This window comes from Homo sapiens, chromosome 2 (assembly GCF_000001405.40).
Source record: "Homo sapiens chromosome 2, GRCh38.p14 Primary Assembly".
In the NCBI taxonomy this organism is placed as follows: domain Eukaryota; kingdom Metazoa; phylum Chordata; class Mammalia; order Primates; family Hominidae; genus Homo; species Homo sapiens.
Genome location: NC_000002.12, coordinates 144,871,437 through 144,885,318, shown reverse-complemented (window position 1 = coordinate 144,885,318; position 13,882 = coordinate 144,871,437). Strand labels below are relative to the sequence as shown.

General features: G+C 36.5%; 2 long non-coding RNA genes across 2 annotated transcripts in view; one reads left to right on the top strand and one right to left on the bottom strand.

Annotated features, from left to right (window-relative positions):
* Window positions 1–13,882, bottom strand: part of TEX41 (testis expressed 41) — a 408,763-nt gene that overhangs the window by 191,411 nt on the left and 203,470 nt on the right. The gene's annotated exons all lie outside the window — the stretch shown is intronic.
* LINC01966 (long intergenic non-protein coding RNA 1966) lies at window positions 3,406–7,455 on the top strand. Its single transcript, XR_923412.3, has 3 exons — window positions 3,406–3,689; window positions 5,767–5,803; window positions 7,206–7,455. It is a non-coding gene; the product is annotated as a long intergenic non-protein coding RNA 1966 (long non-coding RNA).

Sequence of the window (13,882 nt, the reverse complement as noted above, 5' to 3'; positions counted from 1 at the left end):
ATATAAGAGAATGAAAATGAGAGTTAAAAACGTACCTAGGCATAACTAAAACAAAAAAAAAAAGTGCAAGACCCATGTGAAGAAACCATTGTAAATGCTACTGAAGGACAAAAATGAAGACTTGAATTAATGGGAAAACCTACCTCGGACTAGAAGACCCAACATCATAAAGAGGACAATTTGTTTGAAATTATCTCATACATTTTTTATACAGCCCTCCCAAAAATTACAATGAGTTTTTGTGTTGTTTTTGTTTATTTTGCTTTTTCTCATTTTAAGAACTAGACAAGATAATTGAAAAATTTGTATGGAAAAAAAACATACCTACAATAATATCCAAGAAAACCCTGATATAGAAAAGCAATAGAGGTAGATTGGCTCTAACATATTAAAATTTATTCTAAATTCGTAATAATTAATAGTATGTTAATATCACATTAATACCAATAGACTAATAAAATATTATAACAAATCCAAAAGTGTGTCTAATATAAACAGAAATTTTGTGTACAATAAGGATGTCATCCCAAATCAGTGGAGAAAGGTAAATTATTTTATAAACATCTTGGGACCCCTGAATAACCATCTAAAACAAAATACTAGATCCATACTTTAGGTACAGCAAGTACCAGATAATTCAAAATGGATCAATAATCCTAAAAAAGGTAGGAAAAGAGGGAGAAAGAAGGGAGTAAAGCACTAAAAACACATTGTAGGTGAGTTGTTTCATAATCTGAAAATGATAAAAACTTCTAACTAGGAAGCAAATAACCATTTTAGTGTTTTTTAAGTGTTTTGTACAATTCTAACACCTCAAGACTTTTTTTTTCTTGAAAAGAATACCAGCCTGGGTCAAGGCTTAAGCAGACATTTTTGAGAAATAATCAACTTTCTTCTTAGTAGATAGATATACATAAAAAACATCAGAAGACGAAAAACACACAGAATAAATGAGATTTTAAAGGGTCTCTGACTAAAATACTAAAGTAAAAATTCTGAGAGATGTTTCAAGTCAAATATGTTAATCCCTTGTATATTTTAAAAATAACATGGATTACCATGATTTACAGTCAGAAGATACAGGTTCAAGTTTCTATTCTCTCACTTACTTAGAAAAATTACTTAATTTTTCTGAAATTTAATTTTTTAATCAACAAATGGGATGAATGGAAAGATCTCTATCAATATCCCCAGGTTATTGTTTTGATAAAATAATCTAACATATCTGTAAATACTTTATAATCTGTAAAAACTATACAAATATAGTTTTATATATATATATATGTTTCAGCACAAAAAGTATATATCTATTTTAACAAGAAATTCAGTTTAATCAAGTTTCTGAAGATATTATATAGCATCCTAGCAGTTTGGGATTTATAGAGCGGAAGTTAAAACATGTTTATTACTGTCTATGACACTTACTTTACTGATTTGAATCTTATTATTTAAAATGGAACTGAATAAATGAATAAAAATAATTACTCTAGATGACAAATTGTCATCTGCTAGAAGTCAGTGGGTAGAGGCAGCAGCAGGTACTATGAGAAATCGAGGCAGAGGCATATCCTTGAAGCCCATCACTGAAGCCAGTCCATGTGGCAGAGCACACAATAGACACGTGGGAGGGGGGCTTGAGCTGCAAAAGAAGTACCGAGAGCAGCCATCTGTCTTCCCATGCAGAACCACCACCGCTGTATCCAAGCCTCTCCATCAAGGACTTCCAAAGGGTCATGCTCATAATAAACTGGAAAAATGATGGCTTCCGGTATTTAGTAACTCAGAGGACGGGACTTTCCAATACTATATGTAATACAAGCTGACAAGGAAAAAGCATTTCAAATGAGGCTACTAGGAGTCAGGAGTGGCTTTAGTTTTGCTTTGCCTTTGCAGGCAGGCAGAGTCAATTTGATCCAAGTAGCCTTATTCAACATCATCCAGATGGACTCTTTATATCTAGATAAGAAAATGGCTTGCTGGGAATAATCAGGCCCACCCCTGTAATGAGAAAGGTACATAGTTAACTATACATACTTACACACTTCAAAGAACACAGAGTGGGTTCTGATCCCATTGTCTGTTCACAAAAAAAATTAAAAAACCAATGCCTCTTCCCCTGCCTCTCCAAAAAAGAAAGAAGAAAAAAATATTTTGTGACTAGCAAAACATTTTTGACCAGACTAGTATGAATCCTTTCACTATGTTGCTCAGTTTTTATACCATATAATTTGCTCCTTTCCTTAAGTTAGCATTGTTACTTAAAAAAAAAAAAAAAATCCTTCTCCTGTCTTCATTCATTTGCCCAATGAATGGCTTTTATCAATTGCATTATTGCAGTAGTCATCAGCAAAATTCTACATAGGACTAAACTGCCCTGAATATGCTATGCAGATTGCTTGTGCCTGTGGTGACACCTAGAATGAATAAAGTGTATCTTTAATTGGACGGTTCTGCATCTTGGTCCCACCTACCGTCAGTAGTATGCTGCAGTTGGCTTGATCCATTTGCCAGAGCTAATGTAATTTCTTCCCAAACCTGAAACCAGCAACGTCATGGTGGTAGCTTGAAATCATCCATGACAGGAGTATTTACACCACGGAAATTGGCAAAAGCTAAAAATCACCCCCTCCCCCACAAGAGAGCCAGTTGTTAGTCATTTTCCAACATACTTCACACTGTTGTTCTCTGACCAGTTGTGATAAACGGTTCTTTAAACACATTTTGGCAGGAAGATTTTCATTCAATCACAATAAATACTGAAAATGAGTGCCCCCTCCTACCAAAATGTAGAAAGCATGCTCCATCAGGTATAACACCATACCTTCCCAAAATAAGCCTTGAACTGTTAACTATGTAATCATTTAATGGCACCACTGGGAACCCATTCTTGAAAAGTAGTCACATTTCCTGCTGACACAAATTAAGTCCAACTTTTTTGTAGCGAATTATTTGGTTGGTTGGTTTTTAAACCTCCCTCAGTGCACTAACCTCACCAAGATTTAGTGGTAGTTTGCTGAGGCTGAAGTCAAATGGCTGAGTGAGTCCAGCCAGATATGAGAAAGTCTCATAGTGTAACCATTTTCCATGTTTTATTGTTCACAGCAAACCAAAAGTTGAAATAGTAAGTTGCACAAAGTTGAAAGTGTGGAGGGTGGGAAGGTGGAGAAGCTGGACTGCTGCTGTTCAATGATCAAGGAATTAGAAGCTGTTGCTCTGGAGCAACAGCGTAGGTGGAATGTTGGTGCCAAGTGGGTTCTTTTTTTCTGTACCTCACTTCCTTTCCTTGCCTGTGGCTTTCAACAAATATGGTGGTGGGATGGTCAAAATCATGATCCTTCTCAAATTCCAATTTGAAATATTCTTTCAACAGATGTGTCCTATAGTGTTTGCTACAGACTGAGTTCTATAGCCCCAAAATCATATATTGAAGCCTTAACACCCCGTACCTGAAAATGTGACCATTTGGAGATAAGACCTTTATAGAAATAGTTACATTACAATGGGATTATTAAGGTGGGCCCTAATCTAATATGACTAGTGTTCTTACAAGAATAGAAAATGAGAATATAGACAACATAAAGAGGCACCATGTGAAAACACTGAAAGAAAACAGCTATTTACAGGTCAAGGAGACAGGCCTCAGAAGAAGCAATCCTTCGGACAGCTTGATTTTGGACTTCCAGCCTCTGGTACTGTGAGAAAATAATTTTGTTGTTTAAGTCACTCACTCTGCAGTGTTTTGTTATGACAGGCCTAAGCCCTAGTTACTTAGCCCTAGTGTTAACTAAAACAGGATTCTTTTTTGTCAGAGACTGAAACGCATCTCCCTGAAATTCTTATGCGGAAGACCTAACCCCCAATGTGGAGACACAGCCTTTGGGGAGGTAATTAAGGTGAAATGAAATCATATAGCATGGGGCCCAAATCATCGGATAGCATTGGTGTCCTTATAAGAAGAGGAAGAGTCACCAGAGTGACTCTTCCCTCTCTTTCTCATCTCTATCCCTCCATACTCACTGAGGAAAGTCCATGTGAAATTACAGCCAGAAGGTGGCCTTCCACAAGTCAGGAAGAGTCAGGAAGAGAAGGCTTACCAGAACCAAATTCTGACAGCATCACGATCTTGGACTTCTACCCTCCAGAACTGTGAGAAAACAAATTTCTATTGTTTAAGCCACTGGTCTGTGGTATTTTGCTATGGCAGCCTGATCAGATTAATCCACTCTTCCTTTGTATGTTTTGCTGCTGAGTAGGCATCAGAGCATTATTAAATGAATGGACGTACCCCCCCATGAGGCTCAATCCAAAATGGAATTTGAGAAGAAAATAATGTCTTAATTTAATTAATTTCCCCTTCCCTGTTCATCAGTATTCTTTTGACTTAATTTAACACCTTTTCTTGCTTTCATTTTAACCAGAGATTACACTGGTGGATGTAGGTTCATAGGAGAATCCAACAATGCTGAAAAGGTTTTCTGAGCATCCAGCATATTTGGTTTTCACTGCTAGACATTTTTTTTCTTTTTTGAAATGGAGTCTTGCTCTGTCACCCAGGCTAGAGTATAGTGGTGCAATCTCAGCTCACTGCAACCTCCGCCTCTCGGGTTCAAGTAATTCTCCTGCCTCAGCCTCCAGAGTAGCTGGGATTACAGGTGCCCGCCATCACACCAGGCTAATTTTTGTATTTTTAGTAGAGACGGGGTTTCACCATTTTGGCCAGGCTGGTCTTGAACTCCTGACCCCGTAAGCCACCCACCTCAGCCTCCCAAAGTGCTGGGATTACAGGCGTGAGCCACCGCACCCAGCCTAGACATTCTTAATACATCAATGTAAATCTCTGACTGCCATGCCATGGTAGCAATTGACAAGGTTGCATAAGAATGCTGTTTGCTATACAATTTCACAATTTCGTCCCTGAACCATTTTTTTTATGCAGAATTGGTGTAGTTTGCATGTCATCAAAATCCAAGTTGAGTCCTAGTTAGAATTAAATTGGTATAATGATGAAAACTGAGCCTTCACTAAAGTGTCAAGCGTATGTGAGCAATCAACAAATACAAATCAAAAGTAAAATAATATATATTCTAATTTATACTATCATCCATGAGCTCAACACAGATTTGTATATATGAATTGTTTGTTTTCACACAGCTCTACTTTGTGACTCTTTACATTCATGACTTTTTAATCCTAATGTCTTCCATGCTGTAGGTATTAATTTATCTTACTGTGACCAGGCTAGAATCTTTATTGCATGTAAAATTTCTTATTCATCTTGGGATCTCCCATCTTCTAGTAGAGTGGCTTGTACACAGTAGGTAAATGGAATTGAGTCAGAGAAGGAAGAAGAGCTCAATCCCCTTGATTTCACAGTAAAACAGTGGAGGGACTGAGACTAGTCTTCAAGGCTGCTGAATTCCAGACCCCTGCCACAGTTATTAATTGTGCATGTATTATTTATCTTCATCATTCTAGCATTGCAAAATGAAGTTTTTATTGATCAAGTAATAATCTCTGGGGCTAGGCAGGATTATGTCAGAACTTCCAGATCAGTCGTTCTGACGGGATGGTCTCAGCCATTCCTTACCAGACCTCCTAAATGCAACACAGTTTACTGGGTATGAGAGACTTTCAAGTGAGCTCATAATCAATGAGCAGTAAACATCTCATGGCAGTCAGAAGTAGCATGGACCCTTAGAACATGAATCAAATCTCTCTTAACTCTAGTGTTGTGCTTTGTTCTCAGTGTTTGTCTTTATCTTTCAGCTGCCTGGCAGTTTGGCTATATTTGTGCAAAGAAAAGGTATGCACAGTTGATTTAGAAAAAGGGTTTCTCTATAACTGAAATTTGCATATATGAGAATGTTTGCTTTTAAAGTCTTTGAAATATTAACATTTTATTCATGGTGATATACAATTTAGCAGTTTGGAATACATGACTGTTTGAAGAATGTCTTTAGAAGTTTCATGATGGTGCCATGCATTTTGTAAACACAAATTTCCCAAGATTTGCAAGAAGGTCATGGGTTAGATCTATGAACCCAATGTCATGATAATTTTGGCAACTTTTCCATGCCCATTCCTTGGATCTCTCCCTCCCCTCATTTATAACCACATCAGTGTTGGCTCGTCAACTGTGCACAGCCCTGCCTCTTTCCTGTGAGAATAAACATTTCGTCAAATGAAAACAGTTTCAAGACTAGGGTTTCCTTGGCCAAAGTTAAAATAAAAGCTTTCCCCTGATGTAATTAAGGCAGAGACAACTGTAGACATGTTCTAAATCCTTAAAATGCTCAATCCATCCACAGTCCCCATGTGTCCCGCTGGAGCCAAAGTCATCTTAATTATGTATTCTAGGTAGAAGGCAAAAGACCAAATCCCGCCTCATCCGGACTTCAAAGCATTTCAAATCTCATCCACATCTCCTTGGTTTTTCTTTCACTTAATATTAAGTGTTCTATCATTAGCCCTAAACTTTCTATTGATGTACCACTTTTTATTTAAAGAAATAAAAATAGGCTGAATAAATCAGTGATTGAGACCATTTCTCCCCAATGCCCAGTTCCCTCCTTGGGAATGAAGCACTTCATGTTAGTGACATAATTTATTGATGCATTGCCTTAGTCAAGGAATATTTCAAGGGAACCTGAAGGGCCTAGGTAATAGGGCAATCAGACAGTGTGCCCAAAGCCCCATGCCAACAATTGTTTCTATATGTCATCCAATTAAAAAGCACCCCATGCAGCCTGTAAAAAAATAGATATTAAAAAGGGGTTATCAATCATCTGAAAGATGTATATGCGTGGTGAAGAAGGTATGAATGAGGGCATACATTTGTGTGGATAAAGAGAAGGAAGAAGTAGGGAGTGATTGACAAGTGGATACATATAATTATTGAGAGCCTACTATGTCCCAGGCATATTTGTAGACACCAGAGATGTGTGCAGTAGAAGAACACAATCAATGCTCAGCCATCTGGAATCACGCAGTGGATACAGGAATAAATACCTTAGTCTCACTCTCTGGTCTTTGATATACTCTGCTGGTAAATTCAATCAGAAGCTGTGAAGCCAAGGAGTTTGTTGACACCATTCACACTTGTCACTTCCCAAGGCACAGAGCGGAATTTTAAAAGATGGAGGGCAGATACAGAAGGGCCACGAAACAAATATTTAGTACTGCTCTCTTTCTCATTTCCTTTGCAGTACTATTCGCTGATTCAGCGTTGAGTCTTTCAGGATGCAGAGGCTGTCGGAGAATCACAGTAACTCGCCATACATTTGGATGCCTCTGACACCGGGTAGACCATATGATAACCTAGTGCTCAGGAAGTATTCAGGTTTCTTCCTAAATAATTATACTCTTGAAAACTTTAAAATTATGTCCCGTGAACAGAATAGGTAGCTTCATTTGGGGTCACTGTGTATCAGTAACTAAATGTCTTTTTAATCTTTGTTTCTAATTTTGGAATGAAGTCTTTAGAAACTGAAAACCACAGGGTAGTGAAATGTAACCTTTTTCTTACTCATTTCTTATTTGAAATATGCTTGAAGTTTTGGAAAATCAACAAAAAACTAATTGAAAACTAAGAAATGGAAGGGCAAAAATCCTGAGCTATGTCTCTATGCACACCACTGTCTCCAGGACCTAGAATCATGAGTACACATAGCACCCTTTAAATATCTGTTTAATGGGTTAATGAATTAGTTGTTAGTTTCTCTCTAGGGCAAAATGGTAAGTACAAAGGACCTCGAATATCAGGTAGTTTGGCCATGACCCATGAGAGGAACAGCATAATCCATATGGCTCAGACCCAATATGAAGTCATCATTCATCATTTATATATCTAGAACAAGGGGTGAGTGATGAAGAAGAATAAAATGAGTGAAAACAACTTCATGGAGGACTTACTATGTTAAGCACTGCACTAGGTCCTTTATACAAAAGTCTTATTTGATTCTACAAACAACCCTATAAATTAGATACTAGTATTTATTCTACAGATAAGAAAACAGAGCAGTAAGTGTAAAAAGCAAATCATTCAAAAGAAACAGAAAAAAGTGAAACAAAGTGTTGCTTGGGTCAGAGATAAAAAGCACCAGAAATTAAATCCTCCTTCAAATGTTGACATATTAATTTAACACTTTCACCAGAAATCACAACCAGCAACGTGCTTACTTTAGGAATGTGCGTGCATGTTTGCACATGTATACACATTTCCATTGGATGATAAAACTAAATCCCCCTTTGGAAAAATATAATGAACGAATCCAGAAAATTGTTTCACCAAAACCTCCTATAAATGATCTCAGGTCTGTTTTGGAAGAAACTACTCTCCAAGGAGAAATGAAATAAGCTTTACTTTCAACATTCACTGTCTTTTGGTGCTGTTCATGAATAAATTGGGCTAATTGTTGAATGTGAGAAGTGATGATTTTATGATATATATATTACTGCCCCAAAATTATTAGTTGTTAAATTCATCATCTTTAACCAACAGGTTAGGCTGAATCTAGAAGAAACAGATATGGTTCTCAATGTGCAGTGCTGTACACACTTTGCAATCCCCACATTTATGTGCAACAGGTAACTCCAGTTACAGAGTCCACAAACCTGAAACACTGAAGGAGTTTCAAATATCACATAACATTTCAATATTTAATATGTATTCTAAGCATATCAATTTCTGCATATAAAGAGTGACTAGCACATCATGCATTACCATGTCATACCAGTTCTGAGGAACAACGGCTTTCAATTTAAAGAATAAAACACCCTCCAGCTGAAGAAAATTCTCACATTACAATATGTTTAAAAGAATCTATTCCAGTTGTGGTTGGTTGTCTATGAGAAATCTTTTTCATAGGGGGAATAATTGAACATTCCCATGTGAAAGTCTTTCTTTCAAGAGAAAAAAAAAACTGTACATTGCATTTTATACAAACTAGGTGAATTCAAAATGATGGATCATTTCAAAAATATTCATTCTACTATTTACTTACATAAATGTGGTTGTATAAAAAGTAAAAAAGGAATGCATTCACAATTGGTTTAAGTAATTTTCTCTTGGCAAACCACCATATAAAACAGGGGCGTCATGGCGCCACAGAATTCTGAATTGTGGTAGAGCATCATCAGTACACATGGCATTAATCTTTGTCTCGTTGCAGGAGACACCCTTGCTTGCATTAGCAGGCTGCCTCTTAAATGGAAGATGGTGTAATGTAACTCAGGTTTAAATAACACAATAAATAAGAACTCGATTTCTCTTTAGTCTTTCTTACTAATCTCTTCCAAGACCTCTTTGTTAAAGTGCTTCATTGTCTACACATTCTAATGTAAATGACAACTTTTTTGGAGGGGTGCAGAGACTCCCAAAAGAGCATGGTAAAGGAAGAAGCTCAAGGGGTTAATATCAAAATTCAGTACTTAACATGTTAAGCAATCGAAATACTTTTTTAAAAAAAACATATGTATGTAAATGTTACATAATTACTTGCCCCACTTTCCTGTCTTTTAGCAAACTGACAGTCCCAGTATTTTGGAAATCTCACTGTTTTATATCACTTCATGCTCTCCATGACAAGGGGAACATTTAGCTGTCCTTAATGTCTTCTAATTAAATACACAAAGCATTCTTAAAGTCTTCTTTCTCCAAATACAGATATACTTTAATATAACAGATTTTTCCAAATGCATTTTTCTATTGAACTGAGAAGCTTTCAGAAACTGTCCCCACTGAACATAATGACTATTTAAGGAAACAAGCTATTTATGTGGAAATATTAAGAGGGATGATTTTGATAACCCACACTCAAGGCCAAAATAAGGATCATTGGGACTTTTACTGAAGAAGTTAATGGAGGCCAGGCCATTGGCAAATGACCTTGAAATCCCTCGATGTAGCCTCAAATTGGCTTCAGCACAAGCTTATTATTAATGCAGACAGCTAGTTTATACCATGAAAAGCACATGGTATCTCTCTCTCCAAAACCATAGCTGTCACTCAGGCACCCGCAGATTCAAATAAAAGCCATCAATGTGACAACAGTTTTACACTTTTACATATTTTTACTAAATATCACAAGTTTAGTAATCAGTATTTTATGTTGCCTAAGAAAATTATAATTCATCTGCTCAATGGCAGCTTTACATATGTATATTTAAAAATTACTATATAAAAGTATTAAAACATATTACAACACTTGATTTAGATTTTAAATCGTATTTGTCTCTCTGACTATGCCCCAGAGTAATGCCCCAGACACACATATCAAAAACCTTTTATTTTTAGGTACCTCAATATGTTAAAACTATTTTCTCTAATGTTTTTTAAAATTGACATATTTCAGAGCTTGCACACACACACACACACACACACACACACACACACATACATGCAGACACACTCACTCTACCCAGTCAGAAAGGAACTGTTTGTTCAGTTTGCAGATATGAAATCATTAGGGACTGGATTTCACTACGGGAAATTTGAGTATCATGTACTGTTAACGCAAAATAAAGAAATAAAGCCTGGGAAGTTAGAAGATTATTTTTTTTGGAAATGCATGTTTAGAACTTAAGAAAGAAAAAAAAATAAAAACATCTTCTAATGGTAAAGCATTAACAAATACTTTTTCATATGAATAAAATCTGTAATCAGTTAGATAAGAGCAATGTGCCTTTTTTTGGCATTTAATCAAACAATGAAATCATATACACATTTCCTGACACAAAAGACAAATGATGTAATAATCTGAAGGAGTTTCTCTATCTCCTTGGAACTTTGCATACTTGACTTGTTTTCCATATTTTGTGACTTTAAATGGTGGGAAAATTATATTAAAATGCTTGTAGCAGTTCCTCTAAACTAGCATCCTTTTTGTTTTATTGTATTTAATATAAAAGCAGCAATTATTTGATTTCAAAGTTATGAAAATATGTACCTTATGAGAAAACAAGCAATTTAAGCTTTAATTGGTGTCATTTTTCACAGAACTGGCAAGATTCTTGCATCCCTGGCACGTTGTTTTTCTATAAAACTGCAGAGCTGCCTTCCATGAATGTTTTACGAACGCAAAAGTTGTTATATGAAGGTATATGCATAGATGCCTGGAAATATAAGATTTCTGGTGGGAGTTATTTACAAAAGATGTATTTCATTTGTTACTGTGTGTGTAACAACTCCTATTATTCTCAATGTTTCTCTCTTCTCAATAAGACTGTTCTTAGCTCATGTCTATGAAACATTGGGACTTATGTCTAAAGTAAAATAAAAGCGGATGCTTTGATGAGGGAAAAATAGAACACTTGAGAAAAGCATAAAAAGAAATTACAATTTTGACTAAAACAAAACCCTATTATAATATGTTGAAAGGTTAATTCTGGTTTTAATCAGAAGAAAGATAATATAGACTATGTACTGAGAGGCTTGCCTTACATAAATTACATAGAGGCACCACAAGACTATTTTCTGAAGTGTTGCCTTACCATGAATACCTTTATTTATTCTGTTCATATTATATATTTCCCACATTTTCCAAAATAGTGTTATGTTCTGAAGGACAAATGTTTTATATATGCTTTGAGAGATTTCACCATCGTCTCATTTCTAAGGACTTTAGTGATTTCCACACCTGGGGAGGTATTTCTTTGTTGTTGGTGGGTTTTTTTTAATGAAAATTCCCAGAGCCACTGCCAAGGTTTCGTATTCAAAAGATCAGAATAAAGGTAGAGAATCTGTGTTTTTTTTTAAATGTCTAGTTGGTTTCTATAAGCAGCCAGATTTGAGGGAAACTGCAGATTAGTGGACTTTATGCAGAAAGTTCCTGTTGGGGGACTGGACATTAGGATACATAAGTATTCTTTATATTTCATTTACATCTTTGTCTTTTTTTAATGTTGGCTATTTTTATTAATAACTATGGCTAATACATACTCAATGTTACTGTATGCCAGGCACTAAGCTAACCACCTTGTACGCTTGTATCCCAACAATCCTACAAAACAGAAGAAAATGTATTCTTTCCTCTTCAGAGATGAAGACATTTTTTGTTAGGGAGTAATGTACAATGGTCAGACAGCAAGTGATGAACAAGTAAGAACTAGAATCTAGGTCTGTGTGACTCTAAAGGTCACTTTTCTAACCACTGCTCTATATAGAAGATTCAAACAGAAAGGGAGCTGCAGATGTTTTGAAAACCTTTTCATGTTGGCTACCCAAATAAAGTATTAACACCACTAGGAATTATGTGATCTGAACTATTGATATCCCCCTCATTAGTATCATTATTGGTTTGATTCAATTTTGATTCAAAATGAACCACCCGACACTGATTGAATGGCATCAGAACAAGCTTTTCCATTGCTGCCATTTTCCACAAGCATCAATAATAAAACGTTTAAATAGTAGCTCAGTGAGAACAAAAAAAATCTTTATGTTCAATCTTTCAACTAATAATCCAAGACTATATTAAAACTCTACCAAGATATGACCAAAGATACAGTTGGGGAAGTTTAAAAGATTTTTTTTTCTGGGAAACAAACAAATGCACTTCCAAATGGGTATCAATGAATTGTGCATCTTTCAGATATGTCCTTTGATCCTGAGAGTTTTCCATGATCCTTCCAATTTGGGTTTTGGATCCCGTAGCACTTTGAGATCATGCCATTCAGAGTACTAATCTGTGAGTTGCTGAGTGGCAAGGCTTCTGCCATTTTTCTCTCTATCCCCAGATATAAGCATATCGTTCTGAGCATTACCTTAGGGAACTGGAGACATTATTTAGGCCCAGAAGAGCTATGGAAGTACCTGAAGACAGAAGTGAGGAAAGAAAGCCAGTGAAGTAATATGGGCTCCGGTTAAGGAAGGTGACATATGATACAGGTGTAGCAAAAGGTCAAAATCACAGGAGTGAGTAGTTGAGCAGAAGCTGATAAGTGTGTGCTTGAGAGGAGAAGACCGTGGACTAAGGCAGAGACATTTATCGAGTGTTTTCCTAGCACTGTGCTATGTACAGGATAAGAAGTGTGTTTTTATTTCCTGTTATAAGTAAACAACTATGAACATTTGTCATTTTGACTATTTATTTGTTCAGGGTGTTTTATGAGTACCTGCTGTATACTGGGCCCTGTCTTACACTATTGTAGAAACACACACAATCCTAACTCCTGTGAGGCTCAGTCTAGTAGGTGATAAATAACAAGTAGAAGAACTGGAGGAAACAAATATTTGATCACACATTATGATGACTGCTGTGAGCACGTGTCTTGAGTCCCCCACATCATAATGCCATCCACTGTTTCCTTTTGGAGTCACGTATTTTCAGTTCAGAGATGAGATTAAATACTTTGTAAAGAACACCCGGTATCAGTTCACAAAGTTCAAAAGATAACTTCTAAAATAATGTGCATCACTTTTCCTAATAAGTAAACCCAATAAGACTTCATATATTCACTTGCTTCTGAGTGATTCAGGTTGAAGGGGACAAGAGATACCCTCTGGGTGCAGGAGTGAGCTGGTCTGGCCAATATGAAGAGGATCAGGGACTTGACTCTTGCCTTCTAGAAGTTCAGGCATCTCAGCAATGTCAGAAAGAGGAGAGGGTATTGTGCCTGTCAGGACTGGCCATTTTAAGAAACCCGTATTAGAATGTGATGTCATAAGTAAAGTCAAGTCTTATGGCTTAATTTTCTCAGTGGAGATTAATGGGAATGGAGAGATGATTTGTTCTGAAATTAGGGGTTTCAGGTGGGAGGCAAGGACAAAGTGTGTCACTTCCACCATTGCCCCAGTCCCGATGCTCACCTTTGGCACCAGCACAGTCCTGCAATTACCATCCTAGATTCACCAGGATGACTTCACGTCCTGCAAGATGCTTTC